At 54.3% G+C, this 20,666-nt stretch overlaps 4 annotated features.

Annotated features, from left to right (window-relative positions):
* Positions 1,954 to 2,772: an enhancer, noted in NCBI's record as "H3K4me1 hESC enhancer chr14:101664297-101665115 (GRCh37/hg19 assembly coordinates)". NCBI's record gives its function as "activates a minimal SCP1, AML or CMV promoter by ChIP-STARR-seq in naive H9 embryonic stem cells {active_cell/tissue: H9 hESC(naive)}" and the evidence as "EXISTENCE:reporter gene assay evidence [ECO:0000049][PMID:30033119]".
* Positions 6,205 to 6,728: an enhancer, noted in NCBI's record as "H3K27ac-H3K4me1 hESC enhancer chr14:101660341-101660864 (GRCh37/hg19 assembly coordinates)". NCBI's record gives its function as "activates a minimal SCP1, AML or CMV promoter by ChIP-STARR-seq in naive H9 embryonic stem cells {active_cell/tissue: H9 hESC(naive)}" and the evidence as "EXISTENCE:reporter gene assay evidence [ECO:0000049][PMID:30033119]".
* Positions 16,351 to 16,983: an enhancer, noted in NCBI's record as "H3K27ac-H3K4me1 hESC enhancer chr14:101650086-101650718 (GRCh37/hg19 assembly coordinates)". NCBI's record gives its function as "activates a minimal SCP1, AML or CMV promoter by ChIP-STARR-seq in naive H9 embryonic stem cells {active_cell/tissue: H9 hESC(naive)}" and the evidence as "EXISTENCE:reporter gene assay evidence [ECO:0000049][PMID:30033119]".
* Positions 16,984 to 17,617: an enhancer, noted in NCBI's record as "H3K27ac-H3K4me1 hESC enhancer chr14:101649452-101650085 (GRCh37/hg19 assembly coordinates)". NCBI's record gives its function as "activates a minimal SCP1, AML or CMV promoter by ChIP-STARR-seq in naive H9 embryonic stem cells {active_cell/tissue: H9 hESC(naive)}" and the evidence as "EXISTENCE:reporter gene assay evidence [ECO:0000049][PMID:30033119]".

Raw genomic sequence — 20,666 nt, 5'->3', positions numbered from 1 at the left:
ATGTCACTTACAATACAACACTGGGGGAAGGAGCCAGAACCCTCCCCAGGATGGTTCCCATGTCCTGGAGGCCTGGCCCTGGCCCACTTCTCCCTGCTGCCCTGTGAATGGAGCCCCCGCTCTCCAGCTCGAACAGGGTTCTCTGCACCCCCTTGCTTCTCAGGGATGTTTTCCTTCTGAAAAGTCCTGCCTGCATGGCTCCCTGGAGGACAGCACGCCTCCACCTACCCTGGGATCCTCGATTCCATTCCCTCTAATGAGCCCATCTGAGCTTGGGCAAGGCAATGAGGAGCGCCAGGCCTTCTCAGAACTGCTCTCACAGCCAGACAGGCAGGCGGCCCCAGCACGTTGCCCACTGCCTTGCCACCTTGTAATGAGCGGGAGAAATCTGGGAATTAATGAGGACAGGAAAATTAATCACAGGTTGCTGGGAGGCCTGCTGCAGGCTTGCAGCTCGGACTCCAGGTCCAGATTTGGGGGTGGGGATAGGAGATCTGGGGTCTAGGATCTTGCCATAAACATGGTGCCTTCCTTCACCTGTCTCACACTCAGAGAGGAGACCGTCCGGGGCAGAGTTAGGGGACGAGCAGGAGCCTTGAGGATGGAGTCTGAGTTCTGGCCCTGCCACCTGCTGTGTGATCTAGAGGTGGATGCTTAAGCTCTCTGAGCTCTGGAGTCCGCCATCTTTTTTTTTTCTTTGAGATGGAGTCTGGCTCTGTTGCACAGGCTAGAGTGCAGTGGCTCGATCTTGGCTCACTGCGACCTCCACCTTCCGGGTTCAAGTGATTCTCCTGCCTCAGCCTCCTGAGTAGCTGGGATTACAGGTGACCGCCACCACGCCCGGCTAATTTTTGTATTTTCAGTAGAGACGGGGTTTCACCATATTGGCCAGGCTGGTCTCGAACTCTTGAACTCAAGTGATCTGCCCACCTTGGCCTCCCAAAGTGCTGGGATTACAGGTGTGAGCCGCCATGCCCGGCTGAGTCTGCCATCTCTTAAAGGAAGAAGATAACCTGTAGCGATTCTCATGCTGATGAGGTGTCACACGTTTTACCAACCCCAAAACACACAGTTAGGAAATGAGCCCTTCGCCTCCCCAGGAGCTCACAGTCTCACTGCCCAGAGGATTAAAAAGATGTCCACATGGTGATGGCCCAAGGCAGTGTCCCTGGATGCACAGACCGTGGACCTGGACTTCTGGGGCTGCTCCGCCTTCAGCAGGCCACAGCCATCCCAAATTGCTTCTTGGGAAAGGGGAGGAAGGGAGGGCAGGGAAAGGCACAGAGGTGGGAGAGGACATCTGTGTTTCCTTTTCCAGTTTGATGGGGCAACTTGCAGGGGAGAGAGGAGACACAAGCTGCGGATGCTAGTTGGGGCCAAATGAGGGTGGGTGCATGTTGCCAGGCTGAGAGCGCGGCTGTGTGCCCCGACATATACGGAGGGCAGGCATCGCTCCACTCTGTGCCCCCCACCCCCTGCCCCCTGCCCCCTGCCCCCTGCCCCCTGCCCAGCCACGGCCTGCTCTGACCTGTGGTCAGCACTGGGGTCGGCTGTGGGGTGACATAGTCTAGTCCAGATATCATTGGAAGGCACAAACAACACGGCCCATCCAGAGACAGCTGCCGGAGCATTTTTTATTCAGGACAAAGATTTTCAAATGTGTTTTCAATCCCCTTCTAAGAAAGTAAGTTTATATAGAAGACATTTGGCCTTCCAGACTGCTTCGCTTATAACAGACTCTTTGTTTACCGCTGGGTATGGCCAGTGCCTGAGAAGGGAGTGGCTCTGACTCATGATGGGTGCAGGTGGGCACAGATAATTGCAAGTGAGCTCAGGTGGGCTCAGCTCAGAGGTGGCCTGAGGGAAATGCCATGAGCAGTGGGCTTGGAAGGAAGGGAGACACAGCGTAGGGCCCTGAGGTCTCTCCCATGACTGGGAGCTGTGGCTAGGTCACTGCTAGGGTCCTCTGAGCTCCTGTCACAAGCTGACTCTCCGTGGGGAGTAAGGACCACAGGGCTGGAAGTCAGGAGGGAAAAGCTCTCATGGGCCCCAAGAGGCTTTTGAGGGGCCGGCTGAGTCAGTGCCTGCAGTCCCCCCAGCAGCGGCTGTACCGACCCCAGGCTGGGGGCACAGAGGAGCGGAGGAAGGAGGCGCCTGACAGCAGGGCTCACGCAGAACTAAGAGGGAGACTGAGGCTGCGGGACCCGGGGTGGGGCTGAGTCCAGGACCGAGCCTCTCGGCTATGGGGCCACTTTGGTGCTCTCAGTATCCACCCGAGAAGACCCTCATGGAGGAGCTGGGCAGCCTTGCCTCAGCTCTGCTGGAGAGGCCTCGGAGGCTGGCTGCTCAGAGGCTGCACAGGCGAGTTGCTATGCTGCTCCCGGATGCGTTCAGCACAGGCCTGGGCATCCCTGCCCAGCTTCTGCCAAGACCCAGCAGGACCTGCCCACACCCCAGGTGTACAACCTGGGCACACACGAAGCGCCACCCCAGGGACCCACAGGAAGGCCTCTTCCCGCCGCAGGTTCACGCTGCTTCCCTGATATCCTTCAAGGCCTCAGAGAGCAAAGACTCGAGCCTCAAGGTGCCTGGTGAGCTCAGGACCACCTGCCCTCTCCTCACTGGCCTCATTCCTTCCTGGCCTCACTCTCTTCTCCTCCCCTTTGCTGCCCGGGGACTGCACGCTCCTTCCAAGGTGGCTTCTCTCTTTCCTTGGCCTCAGTGAAGACGTGGACCAGGGCCTGGGGGCTTACGTGGAAGGGAGAGGGTGCTGGGGAAACCGGGTCTTCCACTGTGGGTGGGGAGAGAGCAGGATGGAGGAGGAGGCAGCTGAGGGAGAAGACAGAGAGGCCAAGCAGGAGAAAGCGCTGCACCCAGGTCTCCAGAGGGTAGGAGACTCCCTGGATCCAGCAAGGTCCTTGGCTGCAAACAGCAGAGACGGCCCCTCTTGCCGCAGGGGTAAAGGACGTGTAGGGGCACCCAGAGTGGAAAGGCATCAGATAGGTGGAGCCCAGGTCACAGCCCATGGCCTGGCTTCCAGGAGGTTCCAGCAAACTCCCCCACCCAACTGTCTCTACTCCACCTGGAGACTCAGCTCCCCCTCCAGGAAGCCCTCCTGGAGCCACAGCCAGGCTCTGTGGGCCCTGGAGATTCCTCTGTGCACTTATCTGTGCCCAGCCATGCCAGCCTGCTCTTCATCAGCCCGGGAGTTTCCCTACGGAGGGAACAGCATCCCACTCCTCTCCCTGACCCAGGGCCCAGCCCAAGGTGAGGCACAAAAGCAGACGGGCGGAGGTGGAGCCGCTGGTAAAAAGCAAGTGAGCGCCAGAGGCCTGCACTCAACCCTTCTCAGCCGAGAGGCTGCGGTTTGGGCCAGGCCTCTGCTTGGCTTCTTGGCGCAGGAGTGGGAGGGCCAGTGAGGATGGGGGTGGGGCCATGTTCCTGCTAATTGGGTAAGCCTGTTGGCCATGCCTCAGGAAAGGTTTTCCTGGTTGCTTTCATAATGAAATGTTTTATGACATCAAATATTCCTCCTCATTAACCCAAAAGGTTAGGGAACTGCACCTCTTTTGTTTCCTGGGCAATTTGGTCTGACCTTTAGTTAGTGAAGGAGGTTGCTGCTGCCTCCAGCGGCTGGCTAGAGGGATCCTGCATCTGATGTGGCCCTTCTGCTGTGCCTGTGGCTCCCCAGTTGCCTCTGGGCCATCCCAGCCTCAGTTTCCCCATCTCTGTCATGAGTTAAGTTGGACTCAGTGGAGGGGCAGGGCAAGGGCCCTTTGGCTTCCTTGGAACTGGGAATGAAGGCTCAGTTTGTTTGGGAAGCCTCTTGGGAAAGGGTGGGCGTGGGTCTGTTCCCCTCACCCCAGCCTTATGCCTACCTGCTCCTGCTTTGGGCCCCCTGGAAGGCTGGCAGCAGAGGGGACCCCTTTACAGACCTCATGCTCGGAGAGTTGCTGTAGCTTGCTAAAGATGAGTTTGTCTCTTAATTGCTTGTCCACCTGGTTTTAATAACACTTTGCCCTGCAGAAATACTCACCCCTCAAGATTCTCACCCCTTGTGTGAGGCTCCAGCAACATAAGTAGAAATTAGAGCACTGGGAAGCTCTGTTTGTTGGAATAGCACTGGGAAGCTCTGTTTGTTGGAATAGCACTGGGAAGCTCTGTGTGCTGGAATAGCACTGGGAAGCTCTGTGTGTTGGAATAGCATGACAAACAGGAAAAGAACGAGTGTGCCTGCCTTTATGGGTGGCTCGCCCTGTGCCAGACACTCATTTATCTTTGCTGAAATGTTCTGTAATGTGTGCTGTTATGATTCCCATTGTACAGATGACACCATGGAGGTTCCGTGAGGTTAAATGTGATCTCACAGTTTACATTTGATGGAGCTGGGCTTTGAACCTGGGGACCGCATCCTCTCACCCCTCTCCTTTTCTGCCACCTTGGCTGGGAAGTGGAGGAGTTCTGACTCACAGCCCAAAGTCCTGTCTACACCGGATGCCAAGAGAAGAACCCGGCATACAGCAGACGGTGAAGATGCAGGCGCAGCCCTGCCAGGGGGTGGGCAGTGGGGTGGGGTGGGGGGCAGGGCTCCGAGCTGCTGGGGTGGCTGGGCTCCGTAAACAGAGGAGGGTGGAAAGGTGGTGGGGCCCCCAGTCTGCCCATGATAAATGTGGTGATTCGTGGACAGCCGTCAACAAGGGCTAGAGAAATCTAACGAGCCCAAAAAACGCCCTGCACGAAAATCTTTGGAAAAATCAACGGGAAACCAAAGCCTGCCAAAGACTTAAGCTTGTACCACTCGCTTCTTTGGAGCTCATCGGGCCCAGTTATTTAAGAACAACCACCCAAGATCAACTTTAGAGCCACTTTTCCTTGCAAGGAGAAGGCAGAAAGCTGAGAGGAACATAAGGAGGAGAAAAAACACGGAACCTTCTTTGACGGGATCCGTGTGCCTCTTGCCAGGTTTACACTTTGAAATGAGAAGCAAATGTTGGGAAAACATGTCAGACGATCCAGGCTCTGAAACCAGTGAGAGGCTTGGAGGGAACTAAGGAGGGGCGGGAACAGCCTGCATGAGGCCAGCGGCTCCTGTCAAGAGGAAGGGGCCTGAGCAGGAGAGCCCCACGGGCCCCCAGAAGGGTGGTGACACCGTCCGTCCACATATGGGCACCTGCCTCAGGAACTTGTCCAGAGCAGGTGGTCACGCTGTCACATGGAAATGGGTCTCAGGACTGGAGATGTGTCGAAGCCTGGAGCCAGGAAGCCTGGGGTGTTGGGCTCAGGACAGGCATGAGAACTGCCCTCCCATGTCTGCAAAGCTCCCAGGGGGTGAAGGAGCCAGAGAAGGTTCTTGAATTAGAGGTCATCTCCTTCTACCCAGCAAGGCACCCAGGACAGCATCCTGTTAGCACCTCCGACCTGGTCATCTTGTCTCCCACTTTCCTCTGGGAACAAGTTCCTGGGAGCCCCTGCAGGTTTTTCTGGCACGTTTGCCCTCTCCTGGGATCAGGCCGAAAGTCACTTTCTCCAGAAAAAACAGGATTCCACCTGTGCTCCTGCAGCTCCCAGGTTTGGGAGTGAACAGCGGGGACAGGTTCCTGGGGGCACTGGAGGTCATCCCCTTCCTAAGGGGGCCGGCTCCTGGCTCTGGTGTTTTCTCCATCCCTGTATATAACCACACCTCGAAGGACCTACTCTCCCACAGGCCTGAGCACCCACCCACTATGTGGCACCAGGCAGCAGAGCACATGGGCAGGGGCTATGGACCAACTTGCACCTCACCTTCAGACTTAGGGGCACCTGGGCTGGGAGTGAATGCCTCATTCCTGGAGGCTGTCTTCTTGCAGGGCTGTGGGAAGAGAGGGTAGAGACTGAAATTAGGATCCTCTCAGCTCAGATATTTGCAATGCTCCGGCCGGCGGTGGGCTGGGAGGCCTGGAAGACCTGGCTTGGCCTTGCCTCTTCGTCCCCTTCCTATGGGGCAGACTCGGGGACAAGACCACCCAGAGTCCCAGTGTTCACGGGCATCAGAGGTGCTGCCGCCTCTCACTGTGGGGCTTGGAGGTGCTGACTGTCTGTAAGCGCACAGCCCCCAGCCTGGAACCCAGCTCTGGGCAGAGCGGCAGGTGAGGGCTGCAGGGGTTCTGACCTCAGGAAACCCTCTCACTCCTCCCCTTCTGTGTCTCTCGCAGGCCCCCAGGGCAGAGACTACTTGCGTGGCTGCTGAGGGCACTCAGGCACCCCCACGCTGGCAGGTGTGCACGTTCCCACCTGCTTTGGGCACCCAGGGCCTTCCGGCAGCCAATGCCACACTGACTGTGGTAGCCCCACAGCAGGGGGCCGAGAACCTGGTGGGAATGCTAATGCCGGCAGGTGGATACCAAGGTGACAGCGTTTATGTGCCCAGCCCCCTGCCAGGCCGCATGGCTCAGCTGATAACCGCTCATTACTTCAGGCAGGCGCTCTGCCCTCCTAACGAGCCTCTTGGGGCTGCTTCCTGCAAGGAAAGTGCTTTCCTGTGCTTCAGTGGAGATGGAATAAGAGAAATAGGTACGTGTCTAGGGCAGGATGACAAATCGTTCCGTGAGCTGGACTTTCTAAGGTGTTGTCAAAAGTGCCTGAACCCAAGCGGGAACCCTTAGGGACAGCAAGGTCTCCCGGGAGAAATCCAGGCCTGGGGCAGACAGGCCGGGGCAGTACCCCCTCCTTTGCTGGCCACAGCCTGACTGTGGCCTCTCAAGACGTGCCCTGTCTCCCCTGGAGAGGGCTTAGTGAGCCCCAGCCTGACGTGGCTGTCCTGAGAATGAAACAAGAAACTGAGGCACGAACACTCTGCAGAGTTGGAAGTGCCCACACAGCCCCAGAAGGACATGGTAACACCCTTGGCAGAAGCCTCCATTCACACGCCCAGCTCCTCCAGCCCGCTAGCAGTGGGAGTCCAGAAGCAGGAGTCATGACTTGGTTCAGGCGTGATGAGACCCCGCTGGCACTCTGAAACCCCACCAGCCCCCAGCACCGAGCCCGCTGCACTCCTGGTGTCTTGCGCTCATAAACGGCAGTGCTCACTGTGCATGTAGGTTGTCAGCTGCTCTCCTCTGGCCAGGCACCAGGGGCCAGGGCTCCAGCAGGATTCGTACACCTAGGCCCAGGGCAGACAGGGCTTCCCAGACCACTTGTCTGCTCACCTCCAGGAGATGGGTAAATGAGGGCCACTATGGCAGTGGACCAGGCTGAAGGGACAGGGCTGTGACCAGCCAGGGCACTCCTGCCTGCAGCTGCCGTAGTTGGGGGAGACCCCTGTTCAAGGGCAGGGGTGCTTCAAGGCAGCATGATGTTTGCCTCTGGCACCTGAGGCTTGCTGCTTCAGGAACCAGCTGTGGATGGTGCTCAGTATTTCTGCTCTGCATAGGAACAATGGCCACTGGTCCCCGGGGTGCCGAGGCTTTGATGAGACCTGTCTCACTCAGGGTCCAGGGTGCCAGCAGCCAGCTACATCTGACACGGGTGGAGCCCATGTGGTTTCTGCTGGGGATGGGACCTCACTTCTCACTCCCTCCTCGGCTTTGCCTGCCTGTGTCAGCCCCAAAACGGAGCTTTCCTAGCAGATGGGGAAAGGCGTCTTGCAGGGAGAGGGAGGCATCCACTTCTCCCTGCAGTTCATTAAATCTGGACACGGGGATGCTTGTAGCAGCAGAAAGCTGAGTGATTTGTAATAACAGATGACAAACTAACACAAGTTGTTTTTTAATGACATTCTAGTAAAGTTGTGTCCCAGCCCCCTGGGATGGGTTTGTCTGACTGACCCACTGGAGCCTTCTTCGTGGGGAAAGGCACAGAGAACTTTGGTATTGAGCAGAATTTCTGTTCTTACAGCAGCTCCTGTGTCGCGGGGCCAAGGGAGCTGGAAGCCTGTGTGAGCACTGCCCCCCACAGCTGCCAGAAGCCCCTCAAGTTCCCTGGCTGGTCCCCCTGGGGGAGTGTATGGCCGAGTGGATGTGCTTGCTGGGTGAGGATAGAATGACACTGCACCTCTCCCATCCCCTGAAGACCCAGCTCAAAGACCATCTCTTCCAAGAAACCGTCCTCAAACCCTCTTGCCTTCCCCAGCCCCTGCCAGAAATGGCCTTTCCTTCTCCAGGCCCCCAGGGCCTCCTGTGGGCCTCTCTCAGATGGGTCGCCCTTGTTCCTTGGCCTTTGTTCCACCCATGCTGTGCACCCTACGGAGTCCTCTGGGACAGGAGAGCTGTCTGGGAGTCCTCTGGGACAGAACAAGATTTAAGGCTGAAGGTTTCCAATAGGAATCATCAACATCCCAGGAGGTCCCCTGGCAAAGCTGCCTGGTGCTTCCCCACCAAATTCCAGAAGAAACATGGTAACAGATGGCCTGGGAGCAGAAATCAAGCCTCCTTTCTGCCTTGCGGAGACTGCTGAACTGGTAGCCAGTAGGCAGGCAGACAGGTCATCTCTGGCTTCCAGAGAGGCACTGAATTAACAGGGTCCCTTGGGCAGCCATGGGAACGAGACAGAACCATAAGGCCTTTCAGTAAAATCACAGAGGAACTGTAGATCCATGACTGTGCCCAAGGATACAGCGTGGACCCTGAACAAAGCCTCAGCAACAGGCCCGCCCTGCCTCTTCCTGCCCCACACTTTCCTCAGTCAGGTCAGGGAAGACAGAAGACAGGTTTCCCAGCCTAGCAATGCCCAGACCTGGGAGGAGACTCTCATCTCACGGGTGACCTGTCGACGGTTTACAAGTGCATGATGTGGAGTCGTGGACTTGGCTGGTCCTCTATCTGTGTTGATTGGACCGGAATCTGCATCTGGGTAAACTGAGGTGAGGGGCTCCCAGACACTGGACGGGGTGAAGGCAAGGTCAGCACTGGAGGAAATGTTCCTGCTCGTCTCAGCTGAAGCCCCATTTCCAGGTGACCAGGGGTGACATCCCTGCAGAAGTCGCCCACCCACAGGCCACCCTGCTCTTGGGAACTGAGTCACATTCTACTTAGTAGCTTGGGGATGGTTTTACTTTGCAGTTAAGTAATCTTTAATAAGGTAATTAAAAAGGAAAAAGAAGAAAAACAAAGGCAAATGAGGTAACCGTGCAGCAGCATTATTGCCAGGGAGGGGCAGCCCTTCCAGGTTTGGCCTCAACACCAGCTATGGCCTCTGGTGCTTCTGAAAGGTCTCTGATTGACACTGTTCCAGGCTCAGTTCATCTCTACTTGCCAAAGGTGAGGTTTGTCTGCTTCCCCCCACAGATGCTGCCAGGGTCCTGAGAGTCAGCTTGGGGAGGGTGAGTAGATGCAGGGGTAGGGATGGGAGGGTGGATTCTGGGCTGGGTTGCACAAAGGCAGGCTCTGGGGCTTGGAGAGGATCCTGGGCCCCATCTGCATAATGAGCTCTTGACAGTGACAAATGGATAGTGACAAATCATATCCGCTCTCTCGTTTCATCCTTGCAGTGGCTCCAGCATGGAGACAGTGTCGGCTCCACTTTAGGGAGAAGGAAACTGAGGTCCAGGAAAGTCGGGTGGCTTTCCAAGGGCATCCCCCATGGAGGGATGTGGTGAGGGCTGGCCCAGGCCTTCCAGCTTCATCCCCACTGCTCCCACTATACGGGAAGTCTTGTGGGACGTATCCTGTGGCTGAACCTCTTCCCATCCAGCAGCATGGGAACCTCTTTCCATCTTCTTTCTCATGAAGAAAACCAAAAACAAGGATTTCCACTTCTCGGAGCAAGTCTTTACTCCACTCTTCTAATCCACTGTGTCCTGGACCCCACCCATATGGGGCCATCCTCCTGTGCCCAGCACCAACTCCGTCCCAGGGACCTTGGCTGCAATCACCTTCCTCTCTCACAATTCACAATTTTCTGGATTTTTTCCTCATGTCGTTTCCACTGACTCCTCACCAAAGCTCATCTCTCTCATGCTTCCCAGCCCTTGATCTGGACATCATAAGGCTGTAGAAAGATCCTAGGATAGAGACCGAGAAAGCTGAGTTCTAGAACTTTCCATCAACCAAAAGCATTATTTTTAACAATAAAAAGATTTGCAGGTTTGAGGATGGCTTCAGAGAAAGCTGCAGGATTCCAAAGCAGAATGTAATCTTTGGAAGCCCAGGTGAGTCTCCACCTGGCTGTGTCATGCTGCTTGCATCACATTGCTGCTCTGAGTCTTTATCTTCTCACCTAAAATTGACGTGGTTGTGATGAAGACTGAGCAAGGAAACACAATACTGAACTCAGTGCTTGGCATGTGTCAGGTGGATTGGTAGTACAAGCACCTGCCCTTCCTTCATGACAGGCAACCAGGACCCAAAACTTTCATCCATCTAACTTTCCATCCATACACTCACCCGTCCACCCATCCATTCTCTTATCCATTCTGTCATCCATCCAGCCATCTATCCAACCATCCATCCATCCATCTATCCCTCCCTCCATCCATATATCCATCCATCCATCTATCCATGCATCCATCCATCTTTCCATCCATCCATCCATTCATCCATTCCTCCACACATCCAATCATTCCTCCATGCATTCAGCCATTTCTCCATCCATCCATGCATCCATTCCAGTCATCCATCCATCCGTCTATCCACTCATCTATTCTTCCACCCATCCAACCATTTCTCCATGCACTCAACTATCACTCCCTTCCCTTCTCCCTCACTCCCTCCCTCCATCTAACCATTCATCCATCCATCCATCCATCCATCCATCCATTCATCCATCCACCCATCCACCCATTTTCCTACCCATTCTCTCATTATCCATCCATGCATCCATCCACTCACCCATTCACCCATGCATTCTCCTATCCCTTCTCTCAACAAACCTTCCTTCCTTCCTTCCTTCCTTCCTTCCTTCCTTCCTTCCTTCCTTCCCTGCTTCCAATCCTTAGCCCTAGATTATGTCACAGCTCTGGATTTCTGTAGCATGAGTTCACTGCTCTTACAGCTCCTCACAGCGGCCTCTCAAATTCAACTTCCTCCTCCCAAACCAACACCTTTTCTGAGAACCCCTCAGAAGGCCCTCTCCACTGTTCTTTGGCAAAAGACTCCATGGAGAACTTCATGCTATTCTTTAAACTACGGTTTTTTCCTCTTGCCTCCCCCCAGGCCCTCCCTCCTTATGTACCCACATTACTAAGCATGTTGCATTATGGGGCAAGAAGTAGAAACAGAGTAATTACCCATCCTTTTTGACTTTGTTTCCTGAGAGACAATTGAACAAAAATAACCCATTGTCATGTGGTCCCTGTCACAGCTACAAAATCTCTGGAGGTCTGGCATTCTGGGTCACAGATGCTTGCTCGCTTGGCACTAACTGCCATTGAGAGGGACAAGTTTAGGTTTAGAAATGCACAAACAACCCAAGATGAGTTGAGAGTATTTTCCTTTTTTTCTTTTCCTTTTCTTTTTTTGGTGCTCAAGTCTGAAGTTCTTTTCAATATGTCAGGCTTTTCAAAAAATGATTAAAATGCACCAGATTATTAAATAGAGCTGCTTCAGACTTAATTTAGCAAACTGTAACATTTTTATCATTTTTATAAAGCCCTTTTTAATGAAAACCGTCTGCAAGGAGACCAAATATCGAGGCTGAAATCATGTTTTCTCTATATTTGTTATCCCTGAAGATGTTGTTCCCAGATTTTACAGAAATAATAAATTTCATTTAGAAGTTTGGGCCTCCGCAGCCGTGCCACACATCTCTGAATTTTCCAATTTGCAGTGCGAGAAGCTCATCCCACTGTAATTTCTCACGCTTGCCAGCTCCTGACCGCAATTTCATACCTTCCTTGCCTCTTTGTAAATGTAGACCTTGTAGCAACATTCGACCCAATATGTTTATTCTACATGAGCCCAAAAAACGTTGTTCTAATGAGCATAAACATATTTTCTCAGTGACAAAATGTTTTCATCCTGTGGCTCCTGATTTTACAGGTCACTGCTTTGTGCTATTTCCCACAGGTCGTCCCCTCAGCCACCGGGAATTAGGCAGGAGGCGTCCGAGCTGGCTTTACACCATACAGGGTGTCATCTGTTTCGGTGTTGTGTGTGCCTGTCAGACATCCAAGCCTGTCCTGGACACCCCTCCAGTGACACCTCATTAACAGAGGTGAGACTTCCAGCCCCAGAAATTGTGTTTGCCATAAAACTACCTCGAAAGTGATTTCTCAGGTCCAAGGCCTGCGACCTGTCTTGGTGGCCGTCTGATGGCCTGTCTCCATGTTGGAAGCAGAGGTGGCTGGAGCCCGAGCTGCCCTGTGAAGTGGGCCAGGCCCTGTGGCCATGGCTGGCCAAGGTCATGACTGGCACACAGCCAGTCAGAATTACGCCTGAGAGCCAAGGTAGTGGGGCGTGGCGGGGGTGGGAGTGCTAACCTGGTTTGGCCCCTCTGGCTTCTGGAGTTTGGCTACAGAAGTCAGGTGGGGTCACGGGGCCAGGTAGTTCCTCCCTGGCTCCTCCTGGAGGGCGTCTTGTTAACTCTGATCTCTGGAGAGCAGAAGAGGGTTTGATGAGTACAGTGGAGCCCACAGCATAGAAAGGGCATCTGTCCTTCGGATCCCCCAAAGCCAACATCCTAACACTAGTCAGAGTCTGTAGGCCAGTCCGGTTCTCTTCAGCAACTGGGCTTTGGCTGGATTCTGAGAGCACCTCCAGTTCCTCCTCTCTGACGATCGAATTGGGAGGCAATCTGTGGCCAGGGGCACCCCTCTCTGCTGTGATTTCAGCCTCCAGGTGCTGCTGGTCCCAGGATGGGTTTGTATCTCCTGCTTTGCACCTGACTTGCAGGCATCACAGGTGCAATTGCTCTCAGTGCACTTTGGGTGCCCAGTTTTTTATCGAGGACTGGAAGTAGGGTCACCAACCATCCTGGCTTGCCTGGGACTGAGTTTTCTGGGATGCAAGACTTTCGGAGTTAAAATCAAGAGAGTTCCGGGCACACCAGGGAGGCAGATAAGCAGCGTTTATGCCGCCGCCTTTGGTGAAAAGTCATTTTCTGTAGGGGGGCCAAGTGGAACGTATCTCTCCTCCACCATACTGCAGGAGCATGGACGCCAGGGCACACCCTGCGTAACACTGTAAGTGTTCCCCGGCTGCTTCCAAGTGCCAAGGGATGTTCTCTCCACTTCTTCTTCATCCAAGAAGTTTAGGCAAACCAGCACATTACTGTCTGGGGTCATTCTCAGTCCTCAGCACCAGGGGACTGGCACCCAGGGAGCTTGATTCCATGAGTAACTGGCCTTCCCAAGAGGCCAGTTCTCTCAACACACTTGGGAAGAGACCGAGGCCAGAGGGGACAAGACTGGCCCACTGTCACTCAGTGAGTTGGTGACACTGTGGGGATCTGGACAGACCCCAGGGCACTGACCTCCCAGCACAAGGCTTTTTCTACCATGCACCTTGCCACGACCTGGCCCCAGCAGACCCCCCACATTCTCCTCCCAAGAAGCGAGGCCAACTTTCAGTTCAGCTGAGGTCACCCAGAACTCCCGGTGGCTTTTGTCACATCCAGCCTTACACTCCCATCAGTGCCAATGTCCCCAACCAGCCCTACCACCAAACTAGCAATCTTCTGAACCCCATGCTGTGAAGAACAAAGGACCAATTCAGCCTCCTGGGCAGGGAAGGGGTCTCATTAAGGCCCTGGGAGCCAACGTGGGGGCTGAGGTATTGTTTTTAATGGAATAACAAGAATTTGCTGTTATGTGTTAGATTAAAGGCTTTATCCTGGGGAATTAATCGGATTGCTACTGGCCTTGAGTCGCATAGCCTTTGACTTCACATCCTCAGAGAAGTCACAGACCAGGGCTGTGAAATTGGTTCATTTCTCTTTCTGGTATTTAATGAAGCCCCAGACAGCCGTGGCACGGCATCTCCTCCCCAGGGCGGCTGTGAATTACCTCTCACCTGCACTGGCGACAGTCTCTGAGCACTCACCAGCCCACCCCCCTCCTCCGCTAATCCATCCAAGACACACTGCCAGATTCATCCTCGGAAAACATAGCTCTGGTCACGAACTGCTCAGAAGCCTGGGTCTGCCCACCGCCTCCAGAATAATCTTCAAATTCTCCCATCCCCTGAGCTCCTGTTTCAACAAACTTCAACTTTTTATTGGAGTATAATACACAGGTGGAATAGTACATGGATTGGAGGTGTACATATTGAATTTTCACAGAGTAGCGGTGCAGGCCTCTAGCCATCCCCCAGAACAAGAAACAGAACCATGCCAACGCCCCAGAAAACCTCCCACCACACCTCCCTTCCGGTTGGCAGCCTTCTGTCCCAGGGGTGACAATTACTCTGCTTTCCACACTATTTTTAAGTGGTTTTTACATTTTTATACATGAAATTATACAGTACGTTGTGTATGCTTTTGTGTTCAATATGCTTTAAAAAGGTGGCCTCTCCTTCCAGCTCTGCATACCCCACACAGCCAGGAAATAGTAGGCACCTCCCAGACAGACCCCACCATGCGACCCTGCTCCTCTGGGCATCTATCATGCCTCAAATCCTTGACTATCTGATCAGGAGCCCCCTTTTCCAGGAAGCCCCTCTGGATTCCCCTGCATGCTGAGAGCTGCTTCCTACGGGTAGAAACTTCCCCCGTGTGAATCTCTGGTTAGACCGGGAGCTGCTCAGGGATGGGGACTCCTGGGGGTACCTGTCTAAGGACTTGCCTCCCAAGGGGAAGTTTGTCCATAAACAATAGTGCTTGCCAGTCCATTATGAGTTCCCGTTTCTTCCTCTATTGTAGTGTATCCTGTCTCAAGGCATGAGTTTGCTTGTCATTGTCATCATGGATTTCAGATGGTGGTATAGTCTCCTGGGAAAGAGAGGGAGGAACCAAGAAAGAAGCCAGGAAGAGAGGGAGGGAAAGAAGAGGGTGGCTAAATGTTTGAAGGCCTACTATGTGCAAACCCTTGTGGTCACTATGCTGCTATTGCCTGGTTCCATCGTCTCAACCACCTCCTGAGGTGAGTTCAATTTCCCTACAAGCTGTGTGGCCCTGCACAGGTTGCTTGACATCTCTGAGCCTCTGTTTTCTCCTCTGTAAAGTGGGGATCATGGAACCCACCTTGCAGGCTGCTGTGTGGACAGGTGATAGTGAGGCCAAGAGCTGGCCCGGGGCTGGGGGCACGGGAGGCCGCCAAGTCACAGCTGTGATCACAACCTCGATGTCCTGTCTTTGCATCTCACCTTGGAGGAAGGAGGAAAGCCAGAGAAGCTCTTCCCACCCCGGGAGGAAGCTGGGCAAATCTCAGCACCTCCTTCCTCCTCTTGCAGACTCTGCTGGGTGTGACCCAGTTGAATATCTCTGGAAGCCCCCGCAGCTAAGCAGGGGCCATTCCATTTCTTCCAATCTTGTCCAAGGTGAGGGTCCAGCCCAGGGGGGAGGACTGGGCCATGGTGGCTCTGGGCACCCCCGGCACCCCTTCCCTGAGGTCTGCATATCTCCAAGAGGAAGGGACACACTGGAACTGCCTGGGAGCTGGCAAGAGGTTTAGATCTCTGCTTGGCACAAGACACAGAGGTCCGGTTGCTGCTCTGCTGAGGTGAAAGCCGGGATCGGTGGGGCCTCGGGTGTAGTTTCTAAGGAAACGTCTTTCCGCCACACCTTCATTGTCGGTGACTGAGACCCCAGAGTTCTATCTTCCATCTGGCAAAAATCTGTGAAAGTTAGTTCCTATTTCATACCCAACAAATACCCTAAAGGGACTGAAGATTTAATAAATGACAAATAGCTAGAGCATTAGAAAAGGGAAGAAAAATACCGGACCCTCAGATGGGGAAGGCTTTCCAAGCAAGATGCAAAATCCAGATGCCGTGAAGGAAAATAATAACCAATGTAAGATCATGAGACCACTGAGTGCTGAAAGACACACACACATACACATGTACACACACATACACACAGGCACACACACAGATGCGCACACACACACACACAGGCACACACACAGATGCACACACACACGCACACACACAGATGCACATGCACACACACACGCCACACACACAAACACTCGCACACACACACACACAGACTAAAATTAAAAGATAAATAACAAACTGGAGGAATATAGTTGAATGTTTCTGATAGACAAAAGAGCAATACCCTTAATAAACAAAAAAGTTATAAATTAATTGAAACAACTCTCAATAGGAAAATGGACAAAGGCTCCAAGGAGGCAATTCACAGGAGAGCAGTAAAAATAGCCAGAAACATCTGAAGAGTTTCTTGACCAGAGAATTTTACATTACAAAATGAAACAATGAGATGTGGGGTTCCTTTTGCTGCTGACATCGGCCCAAGAGTTCCTGTTTGACAGTAGCCAGGGCTGACAAGGGTGTGAGCAGCAGGTGCAAGCCTGTGCATCCACGCCGCGTGCGTGCCTGTCTAGGGAGGGTGCTTAGGAAGAATCTTCCACGATGAAAAATGCAGCAACCCCCGGACGCAGCCGTGGGTTGTAGGGATCCGGCAGGACCTGCTGCAATGTCTTTCTCTGGGTCTCAGCAGGACACATCTTGTCCACGCATGCCTGTTCGTCTTTAATGCTCTCACCTTAGATCCCATAAAACTGGGGCACCCCCCCCATCACCCATGTGAAGAGAGGTGGGGCCCAGGGCAGGTTCAGTGCACGTGGGGCACTCCTGCTGTGACCGCTCCCTGCAAAGCCTTTTCCCCTGCTGGGTCCACCTCATTCTGGAGGACACCCCCAGATCTCAGGCCATGCATGTGTGTTCAGGCCTGGGTGCAGTCACAGCTCTCAGGGTGGTCGCAGTGGCAGCTGCTGGGTCTGGGGTTGGGGACCTTGGCCGGGCAGGCTCCATGAGGCTCTCCTGTGCATGAGCTGACTCACATGCGTGCTTGTGGGGCCTGTCACACCGGTTCTGGGGATGGCAACCCGGGATGAGCGCCCCTCAGCCTTTCCATGGGGCCCAGAGCCTGCCAAAGGTGGCAGATACTTCAGGCCTGGAGTGGGGTTGCTGCCGGCCTCCCAGCTGCTGACAGCCTCCTGGGAGAGACCTATGCCTTCCCTGCAGGTGGCCGCTGTGCTAGACGCTCACATGTGTGGCCTGGGCGGGCTGGGCCGGAGGTCCCGGGCATCCCTGCCCCGCGGTCCTAGTGTGAAGGCTGCACTGCCCACCAGGTGGCCTGGCTCCAGGACTGGAAAGAGAGGACCCTTCCTGCCCAGGGTTTCTCTCCAAGCCCACAGCGCCTGGGGAAAAGCAGCCCCTCGTCCGCAGCCGCAGCTCATGGTGCCCCCTAGCGGGATCCGGGCTGGCGGCAGCTGCATGAGCAGGGCTTTGGGGTGGGTGGGAGCAGCCTGGCTCTGCTGTCCCTGCAGCCTGGGCCTGGGGCCTGTTGCACAGGGAGATGCCCCTAGAAATGAAAGGAAATGAGAAAGTGAGGAGGACCCCGGGACCAGAGATGCAGAGGAGGGAGGGAGAGGGGCCAGGGGGAAGGAAAAGGAAGAAAGGGAGTGGGGAAGGAAAGGGACAGAGACTCAGAGACTGAGAAGGGGGAGGATAGTGGAAGAGGGGAAGGGAAGAAGGAGCAGGGGTAGGCAGGGAGGGAAAGAGGGGAAGGGGAGGGAGGGAAAGAGGGGAAGGGGGGCAAGGAAAGCCCTGAACCAGGGCAGGGAGAGACGGAGCTGGAGAAGATGCCAAGGGTGTTCCCCACCCCTGACTCTTCCATTCATCCTGAAAGTGATTTGGACACACATCTGCCTCACTCTCTCAGGGAAATGGTTTTCTTGTCTATGAGTGGGTTTGAACACCTGACCCCTCCCTGCCCCAGTGCATCTTGCAAATCCCTTAAACTTGTCAGGAGACATAGTCGCAGCCTCTGCGATGGTCTCTGGAGACTCTGGCCTCCTGGTGTTCACACCCAGAGTAATCCCCTCCCCTTCAGTGGGAGCTGGTCTTAGTGATGGCCTCTCATGAGTACGATAAGCAGACATGATGGGACATCACTTCTAAGATCAGGTTTTAAACACCATGGCTTTCGCCTTTGGGTCCCCCCTCCATTAGATCTCTCACTCTGGGGGAAGGAAGCTGCCATGCTCTGAGGCTGCCCTGTGGGGAAGCCCATGTGGCCAGGGACCAGGGCCTGCCCATAGCACATGTATGGACTTGGGAGTAGAGCATCCCCACACCAGTCGAGTCTCTGATGAGACCATAGCCCCAGTCAACAGGCTCATCACAGCCTGTGACAGACCCTGGGACAAAGGCACCCAGCTGAGCCATCCAGGTATTCCTGATGCTCAGAACCTGTGAGATGATGAATGTTTTTGGTCCCCAGCTGCTAAATTTTGGGGTTATTTGTTACACAGCCACAGACAGCTAATACAGGAGCCCCCCAGGGAGAACAAAGGGGTCTGCCTCTGAGGGAGTGTGGGCACTGGCCGGTCACTCTCTGGACACTCTCTGGCCTTGGGAGCTCTCTTGGTTCCAGCCTTGGGGTTCCAGATGGGGAAACAGGCCTGGAACAGGGTGGCATTTGCCTGAGGTCTCCCCTGCTTTGGTCAGGGGCTGGAGTGCCTTCCTTGGCGGGCCTGACTTTGGGACTTAGAGACACTAGGTCCTCAAGGGCTCTGCTGGGGGAGATATGCTGCAGGCTGTTGGTGCAGTCACAAGAGAAGGTCCTTGGACCCTGGCAAGGGCAGGCACAGGGCAGGTGCTGACCAGGAGGACAGCATCCTTCGACCTCCCCTGGCCCCTCACTCTCCGTTCCTCATAATGGAAGTGATTTGGGGAAGGTAGGGTTGGAGGGAGTGGGGCTGGGGTCAGGGCAAGGGTATGCACTGGTCTCTGTGATTTGGCTAAATGGTGGTCCTGCAGGTGGCTTAGAAGGCTTAATTCCCCACCCACACCTCCCACTATAAGTGAGGAGCTGGGGCCCGGGAAGGAAGGAAGTGGCTCAAGCTCACAGCAGAAGCTCTGCAGAGTGGTGAGCAGGGCCACTGAAGCCTCCAAATCCATGGGCCCTGGAAACAGCTCCCCACTTACCCCACAAACCCTCACTACATCTGGAGACCAGAGCTGGCCAAGAAGGAGAAGGAAGTGGGGAGCCAGACATGCCCACATCTGCACCTCAGGTCTGAGGCTGATGGGTCTCCCCACTTCCCCACACATCCTCTTTGGGCCCCAGTTCTGAGCCATGGTGAGCACTCTGGGCATCACACTCGACAGAAATGATGATTTAGGCACACCAGATAAGACACAGGGTGCCTGATTAAGTGGGAATCCCAGACAACCAATGAATAATTTTTAGATATAAGGATATTCATGCAATATGTGGGATATACTTATACTAAAAAAGTATCTATTGTTTATCCGAAATTCCGACTTCACAAGGCATCCTTTTTCTCATTTGCAAAATCAGGCAATCCTATGACAAGGGCAGGCAGGCTCCATACAGGTGGCTGTGAGCCTCTGGCTTTGGGCCATGTCACACTATTCCTTAATTGGGTATGGGAGTTAGGGACTTAGCAGGGAAGAGCTGGAGTCTGATAACTAAACACCAGCACCTCTTGTTGATAACTAAACACCAGCACCCCTTGCTGATAACTAAACACCAGCACCCCTTGCTGATAACTAAACACCAGCACCCCTTGTGATAACTAAACACCAGCACCCCTTGCCATCTTGGGCTGGATTTCAGCCCTCACCTCTTCATACCCTGGGCCTTGAGCAGGCAACCAGCAACACAGCCCTTTGAGGACAAGGTGAATCGGGATATCTTGAAGGGTAATGAGCTCCCTGTCATGGGAGGTGTGTCAGGACTGAGAATGCGATAGCGGGAGAGGAAAGGAGGGCATAAGCCACTCAGCTCACCAATGGGTCTAGAAAGAAGTTACCGAGGACTCTCCTGGGAGGGGTGCCCTTGGAACAGATCTTGAGTGCCGGGGGGGGGGGTGACCCAGAGGGAGCAGGGAAGGGAGGTGCAGGCAGGAGAGCAGGCCCTGCAGGGGCTAGAGGAGGTGCAGAGAAGGGTGTGGCTGGGAGATGGTGACCAGAGGCTGGATGAGTTTCCTATCGCTCCTGTAACAAATCACAACAGACTTAGCAGCTTGAAACAACGCAAACTTTTCTGGAATCAGAAAGTCGACATGGAGCTTACGGGGGTAAAATTGAGGTGTGCTCAGAGCTGGGTTCCTCTGGAGGCTCTAGGAGAGAATTCCCTCCTGAAGCTTTTCCAGCTGCTAGAGGAGCCTGCATTCCTTGGCTCATGGCAGCATCATTCTAATAATATCTTGTCCATTGTCACATTTCCTTCGCTGACCCTGAGCCCTCCCACCCACTGACCTCCTTCTTACCTTATAAGAACCCTGCGATCTCACTGGGCTCACCTACATAATCCAGGATCATCCCAGATCATCCCCCACCTCAAAATCCTGAATCACATCTGTAAAGTCCTTCTGTCACACAGGGTGACACATTCACCGGTCCCAAGGGCTGGGACATGGGCATCCTTCAGGGGCATCCTGTGATTTTCCCAACAAAGGCAACTGCCAAGCCTGGCAGCGGCTAGTCAGAGGCAGCCTTGGAGCCCAGTTTCAGGGATGCAGGCCTTTTCTTGAGGCCCTGCACCTCAACTGAGTAGGGCCAACTTCAGGCCCTGCTGGTCGAAGCCAGTGTGGGTCA

This window comes from Homo sapiens, chromosome 14, assembly GCF_000001405.40.
Source record: "Homo sapiens chromosome 14, GRCh38.p14 Primary Assembly".
Lineage (NCBI taxonomy): Eukaryota > Metazoa > Chordata > Mammalia > Primates > Hominidae > Homo > Homo sapiens.
This window is presented reverse-complemented; position numbering and strand designations above follow the sequence as displayed.